This window comes from Homo sapiens, chromosome 2 (genome assembly GCF_000001405.40).
Source record: "Homo sapiens chromosome 2, GRCh38.p14 Primary Assembly".
In the NCBI taxonomy this organism is placed as follows: domain Eukaryota; kingdom Metazoa; phylum Chordata; class Mammalia; order Primates; family Hominidae; genus Homo; species Homo sapiens.
This window is the reverse complement of record NC_000002.12, coordinates 222519116-222537561: the sequence shown is the minus strand read 5'-3', so window position 1 is coordinate 222537561 and position 18446 is coordinate 222519116. Positions and strand designations below refer to the sequence as shown.

General features: G+C 42.2%; 1 protein-coding gene across 3 annotated transcripts in view, besides 1 other annotated feature; it reads right to left on the bottom strand.

The window, feature by feature from the left end:
• The window catches only part of SGPP2 (sphingosine-1-phosphate phosphatase 2), a 138634-nt gene that overhangs the window by 25060 nt on the left and 95128 nt on the right, over positions 1-18446 (bottom strand). For all 3 annotated transcript variants that reach the window (NM_001320834.2, NM_001320833.2, NM_152386.4), the window contains 2 exons: positions 15616-15795; positions 12529-12618 (listed from right to left, as the gene is read on the bottom strand). In NM_001320834.2, the coding sequence (NP_001307763.1) occupies positions 12529-12618; positions 15616-15789 (264 nt within the window). In that variant the 5' untranslated portion in view covers positions 15790-15795. The remainder of the gene's footprint in view (positions 1-12528; positions 12619-15615; positions 15796-18446) is intronic.
• Positions 1438-1938: an enhancer, noted in NCBI's record as "H3K4me1 hESC enhancer chr2:223400343-223400843 (GRCh37/hg19 assembly coordinates)". NCBI's record gives its function as "activates a minimal SCP1, AML or CMV promoter by ChIP-STARR-seq in naive H9 embryonic stem cells {active_cell/tissue: H9 hESC(naive)}" and the evidence as "EXISTENCE:reporter gene assay evidence [ECO:0000049][PMID:30033119]".

The window sequence follows — 18446 nt, the reverse complement described above, 5'->3', positions numbered from 1 at the left end:
TTTAAAACCAATCTCACAGGCAAGAATGTAAAAATGGTATCTCACTTTTATTTGTATTTATTTTATTCCTTCATATCTCTATACATACATGTGGAATTGTTTCCTTAGATTTATTGGACATTTTTATTTCTTCTTTTAGAAATTATCTGTTCTTGTCCACTGGAATGCTGGGCTTTTGCTCATTGATTCATTGTATTTACCCTTTGTCTATCACCTATTACATTTATGGTTTTCAAGATGACTTTCAATTTTTTTATAGGCAGAGATTTCTTTAAAAATGTATGTAGTCAACTCTTCTAATCTTTTCTTTTGTGGATTATTCATTTGATATCATGCCTAGAAAGGGCTTTTTCTATTGTACATTTATATAACTATTCACTCATATTTCCTAATTTTTCCAAATGGTTTTGGAAACAGCATGAAGAATACAGGAGGCTTCCTGGCTGAGGCACACAGTTTGCCCCTGACACATTGGATTTGTTTCTGCCTCTTCATGGCTTTGAGCTGCTGTGCTGTCATTAAATACTTCGGATTCTTCTTTTCTAAGGAGTTCATTTGCCTTTTGAAGAAGGTGAATTCTTTATTGAACTAGGTTGACATTTTTCTTATGATTTGATTTAGAAATAAGGCTTTATTAGGTTTCAGTGGTTAGCTAAGGAATTATAGTAAATCATTTCATTTCTCTTTCTTTTTATTCCACTATTGGAACAGACTAACAATAACTCAGAGGCTTACAAATAAAAATAAAGTGCAAGCACATGCCAATATTTTCCTAAACATCATAACAATGATCTTGCTGGCAGAAATTTGCATTTATATTTTCCCAAGGGGCCAAAGAAACAATTTTTTATTCTATTTTATTTTATTTTTTTATTTTTTTTGGAGACAGAGTCTTGCTCTATCCCCCAGGCAGGAGTGCAGTGGCGCGATCTCAGCTCACTGCAACTTCTGCCTCCTGGGTTCAAGCGATTCTCATGCCTCATCCTCCCGAGTAGCTGGGACTACAGGTGCCTGCTACCATGCCTGGCTAATTTTTGCATTTTTAGTAGAGACAGGGTTTTACCACGTTGGTCAGGCTGGTCTCGAACTCCTGACCTCAGGTGATCCACCTGCTTGGCCTCCCAAAGTGCTGGGATTACAGGCGTGTGCCACTGTGCCCAGCTGAAACAATTTTTTAAAACAATGATGTAAACATCCTTCCTTGGCCTTTCAGCTAAAATAGAGTATATTACCTATTCATATCATTTTAATTAAAAAGTGATGCAAATAAATGGGAAGGTCAGATTCGTTTTACAGAAGGTGACTTCACAAATTTGGAAGACAGTGCTTTTTGCATTAAGAGAGGCATACAATTATAAGCTATGGAAAAACTTCACCCTTCAATGAAACTACCTGTAACACACTATATAATCCAAAAGGCAAGCACCTAATAAAAGAAAGAAGCAAACGGAGCCTGGCTCCTATGGAAGATTTCATCAACCCCTTAGTCTTAAATCGAAACTGGAACTCACCTAGAAACACAAATACAACACGCAGTAGTGTCAGATCTCAAATCCATGCTGTCCCTAAATGTGGCTGCTTTTTATTTATTTGGGAAAAGTGGATGCATTCTCAGTACCACCCAGACTTTAAGCCTTTATCGAGCTCCCTGCTCAGCATGCTGGAATTTAATTGGCACTTCTGAGTCTTTTGAGAAACCAGCCACTTCCCAATGGACCACATCTGAAGCCAGAGTCTTAGCCCATTTGGCTGCCTGGCCACTAGCCTCAGGGAGGTCCCCACTTCCCCTCCCAGTCAGGCTAATTGTCAGTTAATTGTAGGCTCCTCCAGGTCTGACCACACACCATGCTGAAGCAGCCTCCGAGGTGCCAGGCTGCAGAATGTCAGAGGCCAACTGGTTTCTCCACTGCGGCAGAAAGGATGCGAGTGGCTTCTGGTCTGAGGCAGATGGACCCAGTGCCTGCTCCAGCCCTTTCGACTGTGGCTCTCTGCCACGCAGGGGCCTCTGACCTCTGCATCACTCTGGTGCTTGACCAACTTCTGTCTTTGTCCATCTCCTGTGGTCTGCACTCAAGGCTCGTCCAGCTCCCATCCTAGACTTCCAGCCCTTCCAGCAGCGGATTCATCCTCCACTTGTAAAAGAGATGAAAACAGTGCCCCCACTGTGGCTTTTTTTTTTTTTTTGAGACAGAGTCTCGCTCTGTCACCCAGGCTGGAGTACAATGGCATGATCTTGGCTCACTGTAACCTCCGCCTCCCAGGTTCAAGCAATTCTCCTGCCTCAGCTTCCTGAGTAGCTGGGATTATAGGCACCTGCCATCATGCCTGGCTAATTTTTGTATTTTTAGTAGAGATGGGGTTTCACCATGTTGGCCAGGCTGAGTCTTGAACTCCTGACCTCAGGTGATCTGCCCGCCTTTGCCTCCCAAAGTGCTGGGATTACAGGTGTGAGCCACTGTGCCCAAAGGCTTGAGCCACTGCGCCCCCACTGTGGCTTTTTGAACAGCGTTGGGAAAGAAGGTACACAAATTAATTTGCCTGTGTTTGTTGTTAGTAATACATATGAAAGTTCTTGCTGGAAAATATGCTAAGGCCTAATCCCAACAATGGGTATCTGAACTTCTCCTTTGGTGGTTAAATAATAGTGATTTATTTTGTCTTTTAAAAAAATTAAAACCAAGAGGGAGTGAATGTTTTACCATGAGTATTCATTACTTTTGAAACTAGAAATAATTCCCTATTTTTACAAAAGGGTAAAAATATGTCTCTCTAGGGTAAAGAGAAAACAGTGACATACTAACATAGTGACTGATGCTCAGAAACATAACTAAATTCCCATTTTATCTCAGTAACTCATCCAACAGGGTGTAACAGAAAGTAAGGCTTGGTAGGGTGTAATTTATATTGCCATCGGCTTTTTTTCCCATGTTAAGTAAGGCATTTTGAAGTAAGTTTTTTTAAACAACATGAAAAAATACAACAAAAATGCTCTAGTCCAAAGCCAGAACACAGTTTTGTATGGTCTGCAGATAATTTAGTATTTGAGAAACCTTTTCAACATTCTCTGACTCCAACCAAAACTAAAACAAAAGTTGGGAGGAAAAAAAAATAAATGAATAAGCAAATAAAACAGTATCTGTGTAATTATCCAGAGATCAAACAATTTAGGGACAATAAAATAAAGCAGCATTTCAGCTAGGTCAGGTGCAAAATAATGGAACAAGTATTCACTGTTTGTTCATATTTCACACATTCGCTAACAACAAAAATTCTGGCTAGTTTTAATATATTTGGGATGGTTGTTTCATTAGTCAAAGGGCTTAAAATCCGTTTTGTGTAAGTTGAATAGTCAGGGCATCATAAATATAGTATGATGAGCCTTCTTGGTTTGCTCTAGCCCTCCTTCCTCCACAAACACAATATTAGGTCCACATTTTGAGACTTTGAAAGAGTAGGAAAAATGCCATGCTATAGATGCAGAGAGCATATCATGGGACTTTGTCTGCCCTGCTTCTGATGCCAGGAGGCACTTTATTTTAGAGAACTGAGCCTCCTGTATGCCAATCCCAACCCTAACCTTTGCTGCCAATCAGAGCCACTGCTCGCACGGGTTGGCTCCAGACCTGGCTGGTTCCATCACAGTTCTCAGCACCCCTGGGATAGCATTTGATGCAGCCACGGACTTATTATCCAGGTGCAGCCAATGTGAGATCTTCCCTGAAACTCTCCTCCCTGAAGTCCTTTAAGGAGCGAAATAGAAAAAAAAAAAAAATAAATGAAGCCCAGAACTCCAATCTCAGGGAGGATGGCAGACCGAGAGTATGAATCCACCATGCAGAGATAAGCTTGGGTAAGAGTGGTGAGGGAAGCTTCTGATGAAGGTCAAGGCCTGGGGTCCCACTCTCCCAATGCCAGCTGCACCTCTGACCTCCTTATACTATGGTTATAAACATCAATACATTTCCCTGTAAGCTTAAACTAGTTTGAGTTGATGTCTGTTATTCTCATTCAAGGAGTCCTGACTAACGCATCTGGTAACCACTTGATTTTGGGCATATTCAATTGTGGTGAACTTACTGGGCTCTTTCCAGTCCCTGTTCTCAGGACACTGCCTTCACATCCTACAGGAGTGGCTCCCAGGTTGCATTTCTGCTCTGCGACCTGTCCCCCTGCCAAGGGTCACTGGTCCAAGGGTAGTGCTGGGTCCAGCCGAAGTCTCACCTCCATATGTTAGAGTTTTGATCTGAGGGAGGAGTTGTCGGGAGCTGGGATACATGAATGGTGGCACTCCAAAGGGAAGGTGATGACACTCCTCAGAGCCACCCCTCTTCTGGTCCCTCCTGAGGCTTGTTTTTTTGACAGCTTCCTGAGCTCCACAAGCTACCCCAGTCCTTCCAAGACATTCTATCTTCCCTCCTTTCCCTCTTTCTCTCTGTCTTTTCCTTCAGCTGGATGCAATTGGTTTATTCTTCAAACTAAGAGAACATGAAATTATACACCAAAAAACTGTTTTCATAAATTATCACTTCACATAGAATGCCTTTCACCATGAAAAAATGTAAGACCTCAGTAAAAACTGGCTTCAGCAATAAGGAACTCTGTTTTACCTTGAATGGTGAGCCCAGAGGTACGGTGGCCCCAGGGGTGGTAAAGTCACTCAGTGATGTCATTGGGGCCCCTGTGTTTTATTTCCATACTTTGGCATGGACAGTACTGATTTCTCTCAAAGGCCAATTCCCCAAACATTCCCAAATGGCTGCTGCTCACAAATGGGGCTGTGTCATCATTCACGTCCAGCAAGAGATAGAGAAACTTCTCCATGCATGGAATAGCATAATCAGATTTGGAAATAATTTCCAAGCAGTGGTGTAAGAGCAGCTGTGAGACATATTTAAGAGCCAGAACGGATTCAGCTTGGTGACTACCTGACTGATGGAGGTGTGGGAAGGGAGGAGCTGGGGTGTTGCCCATGTTTCTTGCTTGGGTGTCTTGGTAGGCAGGGACGCCTTCCCTGGGGTGGGGCCAGATCTGGTTTGGTGAGGATGATGACACAGCCATGCGGGTTTAATGCCTCCCCATGCTTCAGTTGGGCCTGCCCAGGAGACTAGCTGGAGCCCGTCAGCAAAGCCTTGACAGGGGCACCAAACCACATCTGACAAGGAGTGACTTCCTAAGAGGCGGGATAAGCAAATTATTTCTCTCCTTGAATTGCTCTCCTGCTTATGCAGAGAGAGCCATTTTTTTCTTTTCTTTCATTTTCTTTTTTCTTTTCTTTTTTTTCTTTTTTGAGACAGAGTTTCACTCTTGTTGCCCAGGCTCAAGTGCAATGGCGCGATCTCGGCTCACTGCAAACTCCGCCTCCCAGGTTCAAGTGATTCTCCTGCCTCAGCCTCCCAAGTAGCTGGGATTACAGGCATGTGCCAGCACACCTGGCTAATTTTTTGTATTTTTAGTAGAGATGGGGTTTCTCCATGTTGGTCAGGCTGGTCTCGAACTCCTGACCTCAGGTGATCCACCTGCCTCGGCCTCCCAAAGTGCTGAGATTACAGTCATGAGCCACCGTGCCTAGCCTAGAGAGAGCCATTTGTATCAAGCAGGCAGCCACCTGAATGATGTACTCACACGCCCTGAGCATCAAAGCTGTGTGCAATCAGAGTGGTTCATGTGGATGCTGGGTGTCTACAGAGTATCTGTCTCCACCTTCCAACCCAGTTTTGTTCAGGGGCATGCACATATCTAGCATGGAAGACAGATCATTAGTCCAATCAATGACTCTCAACCCCGGTTGCACATTAAAATCAACGGGGGAGCTTAAAAAAATACCAAAGCTCAGGACCCACCTCCATATATCTATTAATATGTATACACACACACATAACATAAAATTCACCACCTTAACTATTTTAAAATATCCAGCGGTATTAACAGGATTTATATTGTTGTGTAACTACCATGATCATCCAATTCCAAAATGTCTTTCATCTTACAAAACTGAAACTCTATACACAATAAATAAGAACTTCTCATTCCTCCCTGTCTCCCTGACAGCTGCTGGCAACTACCATTCTAATTTTGGTCTCTATGAATTTGATTACTCTAGGTACCTGATGTAAGTGGAATCATATAAGATTTCCTTTTCTGACTGGCTTGTCTCACTTAACATAATGTCTTCAAGGCTCATCCATGTTGTAGCAGGTGTCAGAATTCCCCACCCTTTTAAGGCTAATACTCCATCGTATGTGGACAGGCACACCTCATTTTACTCTGCTTCCCTTGATTGCACTTTGCAGATACTGTGTTTTTTACAAATTGAAGTTTTGTGGTAATACTGTATCCAGCAAGTCTATCGGTGCCACTTTCCCAACAGTCTGAGCTCATTTTATGTCTCTGTGTTCTCTTGCTTTCTTCTCACCTCCCTATGCTCTGAGACACAACAATATGAAATTAGGCCCATTAATAACCCTAATAGCCTCTCAGTGTTCAAGTGAAAGAAGAGTCACATGTCTCTCACTTTATTTATTTATTTTGGAGGCTGGATCTCATTCTGTCACCCAGGCTGGAGTGCAGTTGTACAAGCATACCTCACTACAGCCTCCAACTCCTGGGCTCGAGCAAACCTCTCTCCTCAGACTCTCAAAGCACTGGGATTCCAGGTGAGCCACTGCACCTGGCTGTCATCTCTTACTTAAAATCAAAAGCTAGAAATGATTAACCTTAGTGAGGAAGGCATTTCAAAAACTGAGATAGGCCAAAAGCTAAGCCTCTTGTACCAAACAGCCATATTGAGAATGGAATGGAAAAGTTCTTGAAGGCAATTAAAAGTGCTACTCCAATGAATACATGAATTATAAGAAAATTAAACAGCCTTATTATAGAGAAAGTTTGAGTGGCCTGGTTAGAAGATCAAACCAGTCACAACATTCCCTTAAGCCAAAGTCTAATCCAGAGCAAAACCCTAACTCTCTTTAGCTCTATGATGATTGAGAGGTGAGGAAGCTGCAGAAAAAAAGTCTGACACTAGCAGAATTTGGTTCATGAGGTTTAAGGAAAGAAGCCGTGTTCAAAACATAAATGTGCAAGGTAAAGCAGCAAGTTCTGATAGAGAAGCTATAGCTAGTTATCCAGAAAATCTAGCTAAGGTCATTGATGAAGGTGGCTACGTTACACAACAGCGTTTTAATGTAGATAAAACAGCCTTACATTGGAAGAAGATGCCATCTAGGACTTTCACAGCTAGACAGAAGTCAATGTCTGGCTTCAACACTTCAAAGGACAGGCTAATGCTCTTGTTAGGGGCTAATGCAGCTGGTAACTTTAAGGTGAACCAATGGCCATTTACCATTCTGAAAATTCTAGGGCCCTTAAGAATTATGCTAAATCTACTCTGCCTGTGCTCTAGAAATGAAATAACAAAGTCTGGGTGACAGCACGTCTGTTTGCAGCATAATTTACTGAATATTTTAAGCCCATTGTTTTGACCTACTGCTCAGAGCAAAATATTCCTTTCAAAATATTATTGCTCATGGACAATACACCTGGTCACCTAAGATGGAGATGTACAAGATGTACAAGATTTATGTTGTTTTCAGGCCTGCTAAACACACCATCCATTCCACAGCCCAGGGATCAAGGAGTCATTGCTACTTTCAAGTCTTACTTTTTAAGAAACACATTTTGTAAGGCTATAGCTACCATAGATAGTGATTCCTCTGATAGATCTGGACAAAGTAAATTGAAAATCTTCCGGAGAGGATTCACCATTCTAGATGCCATTAAGAACATTTGTGATTCATGTTCATGGGAGGAGGTCAAGCTATCAACATTAACAGGAGTTTGGGAGATATTGATTCCAGCCCTTATGGATAACTTTGAGGGGGTTACGACTTCAATGGAGGAAGTAACGGCAGATATGATTAAAATAGCAAGAGGCTGGGTGCAGTGGCTCATGCCTGTAATCCCAGCACTTTGGGAGACCAAGGTGGACGGATCACTTCATGTCAGGGGTTCAAGACCAGCCTGGCCAACATGGTGAAACCCCGCCTCTACTAAAAATACAAAAATTAGCTGGGTGTGGCAGCGCATGCCTGTAGTCCCAGCTACTTGGGAGGCTGAGGCAGAACAATGGCTTGAACCCGGGAGACGGAGGTTGCAGTGAGTAGACATCACGCCATTGCACTCCAGCCTGGGTGACAGAGTGAGACTCTGTCTCAAAAAATTAAAAAAATAAATAAAATAGCAAGAGAACTAGAATTAGATGTGGAGCCTGAAGATGTGACTGAATTGCTGCAATCTCATGATAAAACTTGAATGGATGAAGAGTTGCTTTTTATGGATAAACAAAGAAAGTAATCTTTTCAGATGGAATCTACTCCAGGTGAAGATGCTGTGAACATTGTTAAAATGACAAGAAAGGACAGAATATTACATAAACGTAGTGGATAAAGCAATTGCAGGGTTTGAGAGAATTAACTCTAATTTTGAAAGTTCTCCTCCAGGTAAAAGGTTATCAAATATCATCACATGATTTGGCATATGTAAAGGGGAGAAAAATAAGGAAAAAAACAGCATTGGCATTCTACAAAGAAATCTTTCCTAAAAGGAAGAGTCAATTGATGCGGCAAACTTCATTGTTGTCTATTTTAAGAAACAGGACACGCTGGCTCATGCCTGTAATCCCAGCACTTTGGGAGGCTGAGGTGGTATGATTGCTTGAGCCCAAGAATTTGAGACAAGCCTGGGCAACATAGTGAGACACTGTCTCTAATAAAAATACAAAAATTAGCCAGATGTGGTGGTGCATGCCTGTAGTCCCAGCTACTCGGGAGGCCGAGGTATGAGAATTGCTTGAATCTAGAAGGCAGACATTGCAGTGAGCCAAGATCTCACCACTGCACTCCAGCCCAGGTGACAGACTGAGATGTCTCAAAAACAAAAACAAAAACAAAACTTGCCACAGCCCCTCCACCCTTCAGCAATGACCACCCTACGCAGTCAGCAGCCATCAACACTGAGCCAGACCCTCCACCAGCAAAAACATTATGACTCACAGAAGGCCCAGATCATTGTTAGCATTTTTTAGCAGTAAATTATTTCTAAATTAAGATATTATATGTACATTGCTTTTTTTTAGACATAATGTAATTGCACACTTACTAGACAACAGAATAGTGTAAACATTTTTATATGCACTGAGAAACAAAAAAAAAATTGTGTGACTTGCTTGATTGTGATATTGACTTGATGGTGATGGTTTGGAACTGAACCCGCTGTGATTCTGAGTTAGGCCTGGATGTCACACTATGTTCATCCATTCATCTGTCAGTGAACACTTGGGCTCACCTTTAGGCTACTGTGAGTAAGGCTTCTCTGAACATGGGGTTTCAAATATCTTCAGAGAGATTTTTTTAGAAGCTTCCCATGGGGTTTGAATATGCAGCTATGGTTGAGAACCATTATAAAAGACATTCCCTAGAGATTGTGAGGGGCCCAGGGAAGGGGCACGCTATCATAGTTGGCTCAATCCAGTTATTCCATCCTAACTATATCATCATGTCAGGTAATCAGCAGTGTAGACATCTGTCTCCTTCAGTAGACTTGGACACCTGAGGGGTGGCATAGGTTTCTTTACCACAAGAGCTCCCAGATCTCATTCCAAGTCCAGGGGCCTGTAGGAGCTGATTAAGTTGCTGCTGAATAAAGGCAACTAATCCATAATTCTACCTTATCCTACTATTAAAACCAACTGTTCCCTTCTACTAAAAATTACTCATCATTGCACCCTAGGCCATTCTCTGGTCCTGTAGCCTGACTGGTACCTGGGCCTAAGCCTGAGTCAGGGTCTAAGATCTTTATGAAATAAAATTATGAGCATGAAAGAAGCCCTGGGTCCTGACAGAACAGATGGGGTTGGGGACAATGGTTGCTGTGGCCTCTTGCTCCAGCTTCTTCTGGGACAAATGCTCCCAAAAGGGGGCGGTGCCCCTTCCCTGGGCCCCTCACAATCTCTAGGGAATGTCTTTTATAATGGCTCTCAACCATAGCTGCATATTCAAACCCCATGGGAAGCTTCTAAAAAAATCTCTCTGAAGATATTTGAAACCCCATGTTCAGAGAAGCCTTATTCACAGTAGCCTAAAGGTGAGCCCAAGTGTTCACTGACAGATGAATGGATGAACATAGTGTGACATCCAGGCCTAACTCAGAGTCACAGCGGGTTCAGTTCCAAACCATCACCATCAAGTCAATATCACAATCAAGCAAGTCACACAATTTTTTTTTTGTTTCTCAGTGCATATAAAAATGTTTACACTATTCTGTTGTCTACTAAGTGTGCAACTGCATTATGTCTAAAAAAAGCATATAATATTCCTTGCATCTGGATGACAGGCCTAATCTATCTTCCCCTAAATATCTGCTTACTGTCCCCACAACTCACTTTAAAAAGAAAAAGCTGTAGCTGTGTTTCTATTGAGGTGGGTTTTGTGTACTCTTTACTCATCTCTGTAGCTCTACATGCTCGTGCTTACTTTCATTTTAACTTTAACCCGAGTTCTCGAGATCATTCTTTTTTAAATTTTACTTTAAGTTCCGAGATACATGTGCAGAACATGCAGGTTTGTTACACAGGTATACGTGTGCCATGGTGGTTTGCTGCACCTATTGACCATCCTCTAAGTTCCTCCCCTCACCCCCAACCTCCCAACAGGCCATGGTGTGTGTTGTTCCCCTCCCTGTGTCCATGTGTTTTCACTGTTCAACTCCCATTTATGAGTGAGAACATGTGGTGTTAGGTTTTCTGTTCCCGTGTTAGTTTGCTGAGGATGATGGCTTCCAGCTTCATCCATGTCAAAGGACATGATCTCATTCCTTTTCATGGCTGCATAGTATTCCATGATGTATATGTACTACATTTTCTTTATCCAGTCTATCATTACCAAGATCATATTTTATTAAAGCCTACAGAAATTAAACAGTAGCCCCAGATAAAAAGAGATGCCAGAGAACCCAAGAGTTCTTCATTCCATATTGAAGTCTATGAACATATTTGGAGAGAACCTCTTTGTAACACGAAGTGGCAGTGTAGCAAATAGAGAACGCCCTCCTCCCCTCCTTCCCTCCATCTCAGGAGCCACCAGTGTGGTGTGACGTGGGATGGGGACAGCAAGGACGTGCCTTGGGAGGTAAAATTACAGGACTGGCCCTTCATTGCTCCTTTCTTATTTCCAAGATCTGAGGCCCGCCTTCACCCAGGCAGCACCCAGGTCAGGGCCAGGCTGAGGTGAAGCAGCTGAGGCACAGCATGCAAATACAGGGTCAAATCTTGTCTTCACTTAAAATTTGACTATCTAGCTCATCATGGGGTTTTGTAGCATGAATTTTGATTTTTTAAAAAACTGCATTCAAATGATTTATCTTGATTCCTGAGATTTTTAGCACTCTTTAACTTGGAGACTTGCCTGCCTCTTCTGAGGCCTGGCCTCGAGTCAATTGCTATCAGCACCTTCCTTTGCATTTTAAGAGGAAAGCGTAATGTTGCTCTCTGATAGACCCTTGGGAAGCCATAAACCCCCTTCTCTGAGTTACTTCGGCCTCTGTTCATTTTGACAAATGATCTCCCCAATCTGTTCGCTCTGCAGCTTCTGCCCTTCTGCCCCCTCTCTCCCACATTTCCCATAAAAAACCCACACAAGGGACCAGGGAGAGAAGCAAGAAGGCCCGTGTGGGGTGTAGGCCTTTCCCTCCCAGGTTTTTTTGCTAACTTAACTTTTGAGCTTCAGAATTGAGATAAACACACAATGAGCAAGGGCCCATTTCTTTTTAAAGAAATCTTTCTTGTACCTATTACGATGATAAATAGCGCCCCTGTGGTCGACCATGGCCAGCCTTATGCTCTGGAACTTCAAGGCAGCCGTGGACACATTGGGAAACTGAATTCTCAAGGAATTTTAACTGTGCCAATCATGGCGGCCCTGGAAAATATTTCTAATATGGTAAAAGGGTGGATGGACCTTTACATGCAGATGGGACTCTGTTCCCACCACTGCCTCCAGCCTAAAACAGTATGGAAGGAAGCAAAGCCGTGATACCGGGCTCCTCTGACCTGGTGGGACCCTTACCTTGCAAGGGCACTGGAGACCCCTGATTTCAGGCCCCTCTCTGTGAGGACCTAAGTGGGGAACTGCATCTACTCACTCGTGCCTATGAGCCTGGGGGCTTTTTCTGAACTGCTTGCTGCATCGTCAGTAAACTGATGTGAATATAAATGACCGGAGTCTCCAACGCTGTTCTAGCCCATTTTCAAAATCTTGAGGGTTCAGTGTAGCTCAGCCTCATTGATATTACCTTAATGTTTCATTACTATTATCATACATGCACCCGAACATAATAATTACTTAATGCATTGGCATGATGAGAAATATAATTACATATGCAAATAATTTTATAAATAAGTAGTATGAGAAACATATTGACACACTGACCACAATATCATTCAAACAATCACCACAAGACCTGACCACAAAGCCTTACCAGGACCGTATGCATCCCAGTGTAGAGCCTGCTGAGACACACCAAGGTGGAAAACACCACGGCCATCACCAGTCCCAACACAAATGGATACTGTGGGGGAAGGAGAAAAAACAAGGGAATTAGATCACACTCAGACATACATGATTTGATGTCATAGGTGGGAATAGGATTCATTAATGCAAGAATTGCTAGTCCAAATCTTGCATTCCCCAGACCAGCAATCTGATTAACTTAAAACTTTTTTTTAAACGGGGAGACAGAAGAAAGAGAAGGGGAAGATACCCAGGTACACAGTTCTGGGAGGAAGTTTCACAACATATAAGCATGCACGTGAGACGTAGTAGGACTTGGCTTTAAGACTCATGACCACAACTACAGTGCTGGCAGTTTTAGTGAAATGAATAACTTTGATTTCTACCTATTCTTAAATTAGAACGATAAGAAACAAACAATTTGACCAAGAAGCAAGGTAGATAGATAGCCAGGGCTATAATCTGAAAATCCCAACAAGCAACTTCTCCTCCTCCGTAGAAGGAGGGGCAATGGGCCTAAAGTCAGAATCGGCATATTTGCGTCCAGATATCAAAAGCACTTGTGCAGATTCTACTGACTCTCAACATTTGCTGCTGAGTAATACTAGTGGCTAGAGGAATCTGGCTAATGCTGAATCATATAAGGAACACACAGATACTCTGCTTATAAGCTAGACATAGGCATAAATCCACCTGCTTCAAGCACTAGTGTCTGTGGTATACTGTAGTAAGAAGATCAAAGACAATAGGGCACTGTCTGTATTAGGCAAAGCACTTTATACTATCTCCTTTAGTCTTCACATAGCCCTATGAAGTAGGCTCTGTTATTAGCCCCATTTTACAAATGAGGAAGCTCTTAACCATGATAATAAATGACGTTATTAATAAACTTTATCATAAAGGCACTTTCCCCTCAATGCTCCCATTTGACCCTCACAACAGGAGCTTGGGGTTCAGAGAGGTGAAATGATCTGCCTGAGGTCACACAGCTGGTAAGTGAGAGTCAGAACTGAAGGCCATGCCTTCTGAGTCCAAGCCCAGTGTGTTCTTCCCCTTGTAACACATGAGTACCATAACAGCTGGTTGTCATGTCTGTTCTTAAGGTTTATCATTAACTAAGTCTCAGATTTTAATTTAAAAGTGTTCAGAATTAATGAGTTAATATATTTGGAAATTAGAGTGTGGGCAGCAGCCTCAACACACATTTTTAAAATTTTATTTCAATAGTTTTTGGGGTACTCAACACACATAAACCAATATATAATATATAAAAATAAATATGTATATAAATAAACCAATAAATATAATATATAAATAAACCAATATTTAGAGCTGTTTATGAGCAAACAGCTAGCTAAATACATTCACTATTAAAAATCAAATAGGAAAGAAATTCACAACATGACTCCAACCTTATGAAAACTGCTACATCATGTAAGTTGAGGAGAATTTTTTAAGGAGGACTGGGTGGCTCTGCAATGGATGTGTCCGTGGTGATGGTGGTGGTTTTCCTGCTGCGAGCCTCCACTTGCTGCTTTTCTCTTAAGGTACATTAGCATATTCACAGACTTCTCTGGGCACCAAGATCAACCCAATGGGAGCTGGTGCTTGGCCCACTACGTCCTTCTAGGGCAGCTGACATTGGGTACAACATGGCTCAGCAGCCTGCACTAAGTTAATTCAGACAGTGCCAGGAGCTCAGACATTGTTTGACCCCGGCATGAAGTTTAAGTAACTTATGACAAAAGATGATATCTAGTCAAATATATTCCTTGTAACTGTCCCTTTCTTATGTAACAGAGGTCTAAACCCAGATGACCAGGTAGAAGGCTACAGTGGTAGAGGTGGGACCCCACACTAGTCCTGGTCTTTCCAGCTACATGAGGCTTGACTTCCTGCTTCTGCATAACCTGGAATATGGAACATCCCTGGGCTTCTGGGGTAAAGGGACAGGGCTAAACAATACTGCTATTTATCTACAAGACTGCTAGATTTAATGGAATCTAAAACTTCCAGTGGGGCTGGGTGCAGTGGCTCATGCCTGTAATCCCAGTGCTTTGGGAGGCCCAGGCAGGCAGATTGCTTGAGGCCAGGAGTTCAAGACCAGCCTGGGCAACACAGCAAGACCCCTTCACTAGAAAAAAAATTTTTTTTAATTATCTGGGCGTAGTGGTGCATAGCTGTGGTCTCAGCTACTTGTGAAGATGAGATGGAAGGATCGCTTGAGCCCAGAAGGTCAAGACTACAGTGGGTGGTGATGGCGCCACTGCACTCCAGCCCCAGCAACAGAGACCCTGTCTTAAAATCAAACAAACAAATAAACAAACAAATAAAACATCCAATGGGTAAAAGATAACACTTATAAAATTAAACATAAGATTAGATCCATAGGTCTCAAATAGGAGAAAAATAACTTCCATTGCTGTAATAATATAACTGTTTAAGTCTTACTATAATTGGCATTTAAGCAGATATTAAGTAAAATTCTTCTATTTTCAACATTTATTAATCCTCTGCCATTTAGACTGTTCTAGAAAACTTTGAGCCATCATTTCTAGTGGCTGAGCCTTAACCAGGGCAGAGACATCCTTAGAGGCTAATTTGAGGCACAGACTCTTTGCGGCCCCAGGCCCTGGGGAGTCTGGCAGAGGGATTTGGTGGAATCATCTCAGCCCTGGAGAATCATTTACTAGGACATAAACTCCTCTTGCAAACAGAGGATGAGAGCACTAATTCAAGCACTGTCTCATCAGGCAGCCCAGGGTGATAATACATGCTGGTCTCCTGGGATGGCCCATATTATGCTAGTTGTCCTGGTGTCATTATTAATATGGTGCTGATGTTCACACACAGGCATAACCTGATTTAAATGCTAAATTATATAGTCACTTTATTTATGATGCAATTGTCATCTGTTTAATAGGTTTCAGTTTCTCTTAATCTTTATTTCATAAACCTTAAGGTCCCTCAAAGCAGCTTTAAGAGAAAATTCAGAAGTGCAGCCTCTATTTGCTGCCTCAGTAGGTGGGTAGGAAGAAGAACCAGGCCACCTTACCTGGTATCTGTCCATAGTAGAGATAAGGAGGGTGAAGGCAATGGCAGTGGCCGCCATGGCGTGGGTGGATGGCATTCCATATTCAGCGATCAGTCTCTTTTCCAGTTTTACAACTGGAGGGGAGGAGGGACGGGGCCACTTCAAGACATCCTTGGCCACTTGGCCAATATACATCACCAACTGCAAAACCAAAGGACTGAGGTAAGTCTAATCAAATAAGGAAAATGAATGCATTTCCAAATGTCATGGATATATTTTGGGGTTCTCAGGTTGTTGATTGAAGGCTCCTTTCTCTCTGACCAGCTACTTGTTGGCAAAGTCTTGTAGGATATTTTAGTTGGTAAAAAGAAAACAGACTTTCTGGATTCCATAGGACCACTGAGCAACTAAGATATGACATTAATGCATATATTATTTATTTTAATCTTGTATTTAACAAACACGTAGCTTATATATGTGTTGGACACTGTTCTAGGAGCTTTGCAGATTTTTACTCAATCTAGTAACACCTGGAGAATGCAGACCAATTTTACAGATGAGTAAACCATTGCACACTCATCCACAGGCACACAGTCAGCAAGTGGCAGAACTGGGATTCGAATCTAGAAAGTCTGACTTCAAAGTCTGTGCTTAAACTACCACACGATGCTACCTCCAAACCAGGATGGTCCTGCACTAAAGATAACCTAATACTCAAACCAGGCAGCACTTGTTTTCAAATTTTAACCACAAAAGTGACTGTTCTTACTCGAACAGCTAGTAAGATACTTTTTGAATGCCACTGTTGTATGAAGGCAACATACTGCATTTACTGTAACTTCTTTAGTAATCAGGAGCATCAGTCAAATAAATGGCATGGGTATTTTCAGTCTTTAAATAAAGACTCAGGTTGGGTGCAGTGGCTAATGCCTATAATCCCAACACTTTGGGAGGCCAAGGCGGGAGGACGGCTTGAGCCCAGGAATTCAAGGCAAGCCTGGGAAAGATGGTGAGACCCTGTCTCTACAAAAAATTTTAAAATTTGTCAGGTGTGATGGTGTATGCCTGTGGTACCAGCTACTTGAGAGGCTGAGGTGGGAGGATTGCTTGAGCCCAGGAAGTCAAGGCTGCAGTGAGCAAAGTCCAGATTGGAGCCACTGCACTGCAGCCTGGGCAACAGAGCAAGACCCTGTCTCAAAAAAAAAGGGCTCGATATGGAGGGTTTTTTTTTTTTTTTTTTTTTTTCAGAGTCTCACTCTGTCACCCAGGCTGGAATGCACACTGCACCCGGCACACTGCAACCTCTGCCTCCCAGGTTCAAGCAATTCTCTTGCGTCAGACTCCTGACTAGCTGGGATTACAGACATCTGCCACCACACCTGGCTGATTTTTATATTTTTGTAGAGACAGGGTTTCACCATGTTGGTCAAGCTGGTCTTGAACTCCTGACCTCAGAAGATCTGCCGGCCTCGGCCTCCCAAAGTGCTGGGATTACAGACGTGAGCTGCCATGCCTGGCCTAATATGGAGTTTTTAAAAATGATTTTTCCATGAGGTCATTAACGAAGACATATTCTCCCTCCTTTTTTTCAAAGCAGAAGATAGAAATCAGAATTTGATGTACATGAACATGTTCTCAAAAGAAGACATACCAGCGTTCATATCTACTGAAAAAAGATATGAAAAAATGCTCAGCATCACAAATCATCAGAGAAATACAAGTCAAAAACCACAATGAGATATCACCTCACACCAGTCAGAATCGCTATTATTAAAAAGTCAAAAAACAAAAGATGCTGGTGAGGCTGTGGGGAAAAGGAAATGCTTATACACTGCTGGTGGGAATGTAAATTAGTTCAGTCACTGTGGAAAGCAGTTTGGAGATTTCTCAAAGAACTTAAAATCAGAGCTACTGTTCCACCCAGTAATCCCATTACTGAGTATATACCCAAAGGAAAATAGATCATTCTACCAAAAAGACACATATGCTCATCTGTTCATTGCAGCAGTATTCACAATAGCAAAGACATGGAATCCACCTAGGTGCCCATCAATAGTGGACTGGATAAAGAAAATGTGGTACAGGTACACTATGGAATACTACACAGCCATAAAAAAGAACAAAATCATGTTCTTGCAACAACATGGATGGAGCTGGAGGACAAAATACTAAGCAAATTAATTCAGGAACAGAAAACCAAATACCACATGTTCTCACTTATAACTATGAGCTAAACATTGAGCGCACAAGGACATAAACACGGGAACAACAGACACTGTGGACCACTAGACGGGGAGGGAGTAGGTTGAAAAACTATTGTTTATTATGCTCACTACCTGGGTGCACTATACCTCTGGGACAAACCTGCGCATATATCCCCCATATCTAAAATGAAAGTTGATTTTTTTAAAAAAGAATTGGATGTCCATACCCTCTAAAAGTGAATAGGATTATTAACAACAGACTTGTTTACTTTGTGAAGGAGTGAATAGGATTATTAACAATAGACTAACTTACTTTGTCAAAGAAATTTACAGGACAACTTCATAATCTAATATGCAAGAGCAACATATTTACTTAAGTACCTGCCTTTGCAACTTAAAGCATTGTCTGAGAACTGGCTGTACCAGCCTCACCCAGGAGCTGCTTTAACATGTAGTCATCTCAGGATTCTCCTTAGACCTACTAAATTAGAATCTCTATTTTCACAAGATTGCCAGGTGATTCATGTGCACAGGGGAATTTAAGAAGCACCGCACTATATAGTCCTCTTGTACAAATCACTTTGTTGTGGGCTTTAATCACAAAACATATCTTACCAGGACTGTGTTGACCTTACCAGGGTTTTATTT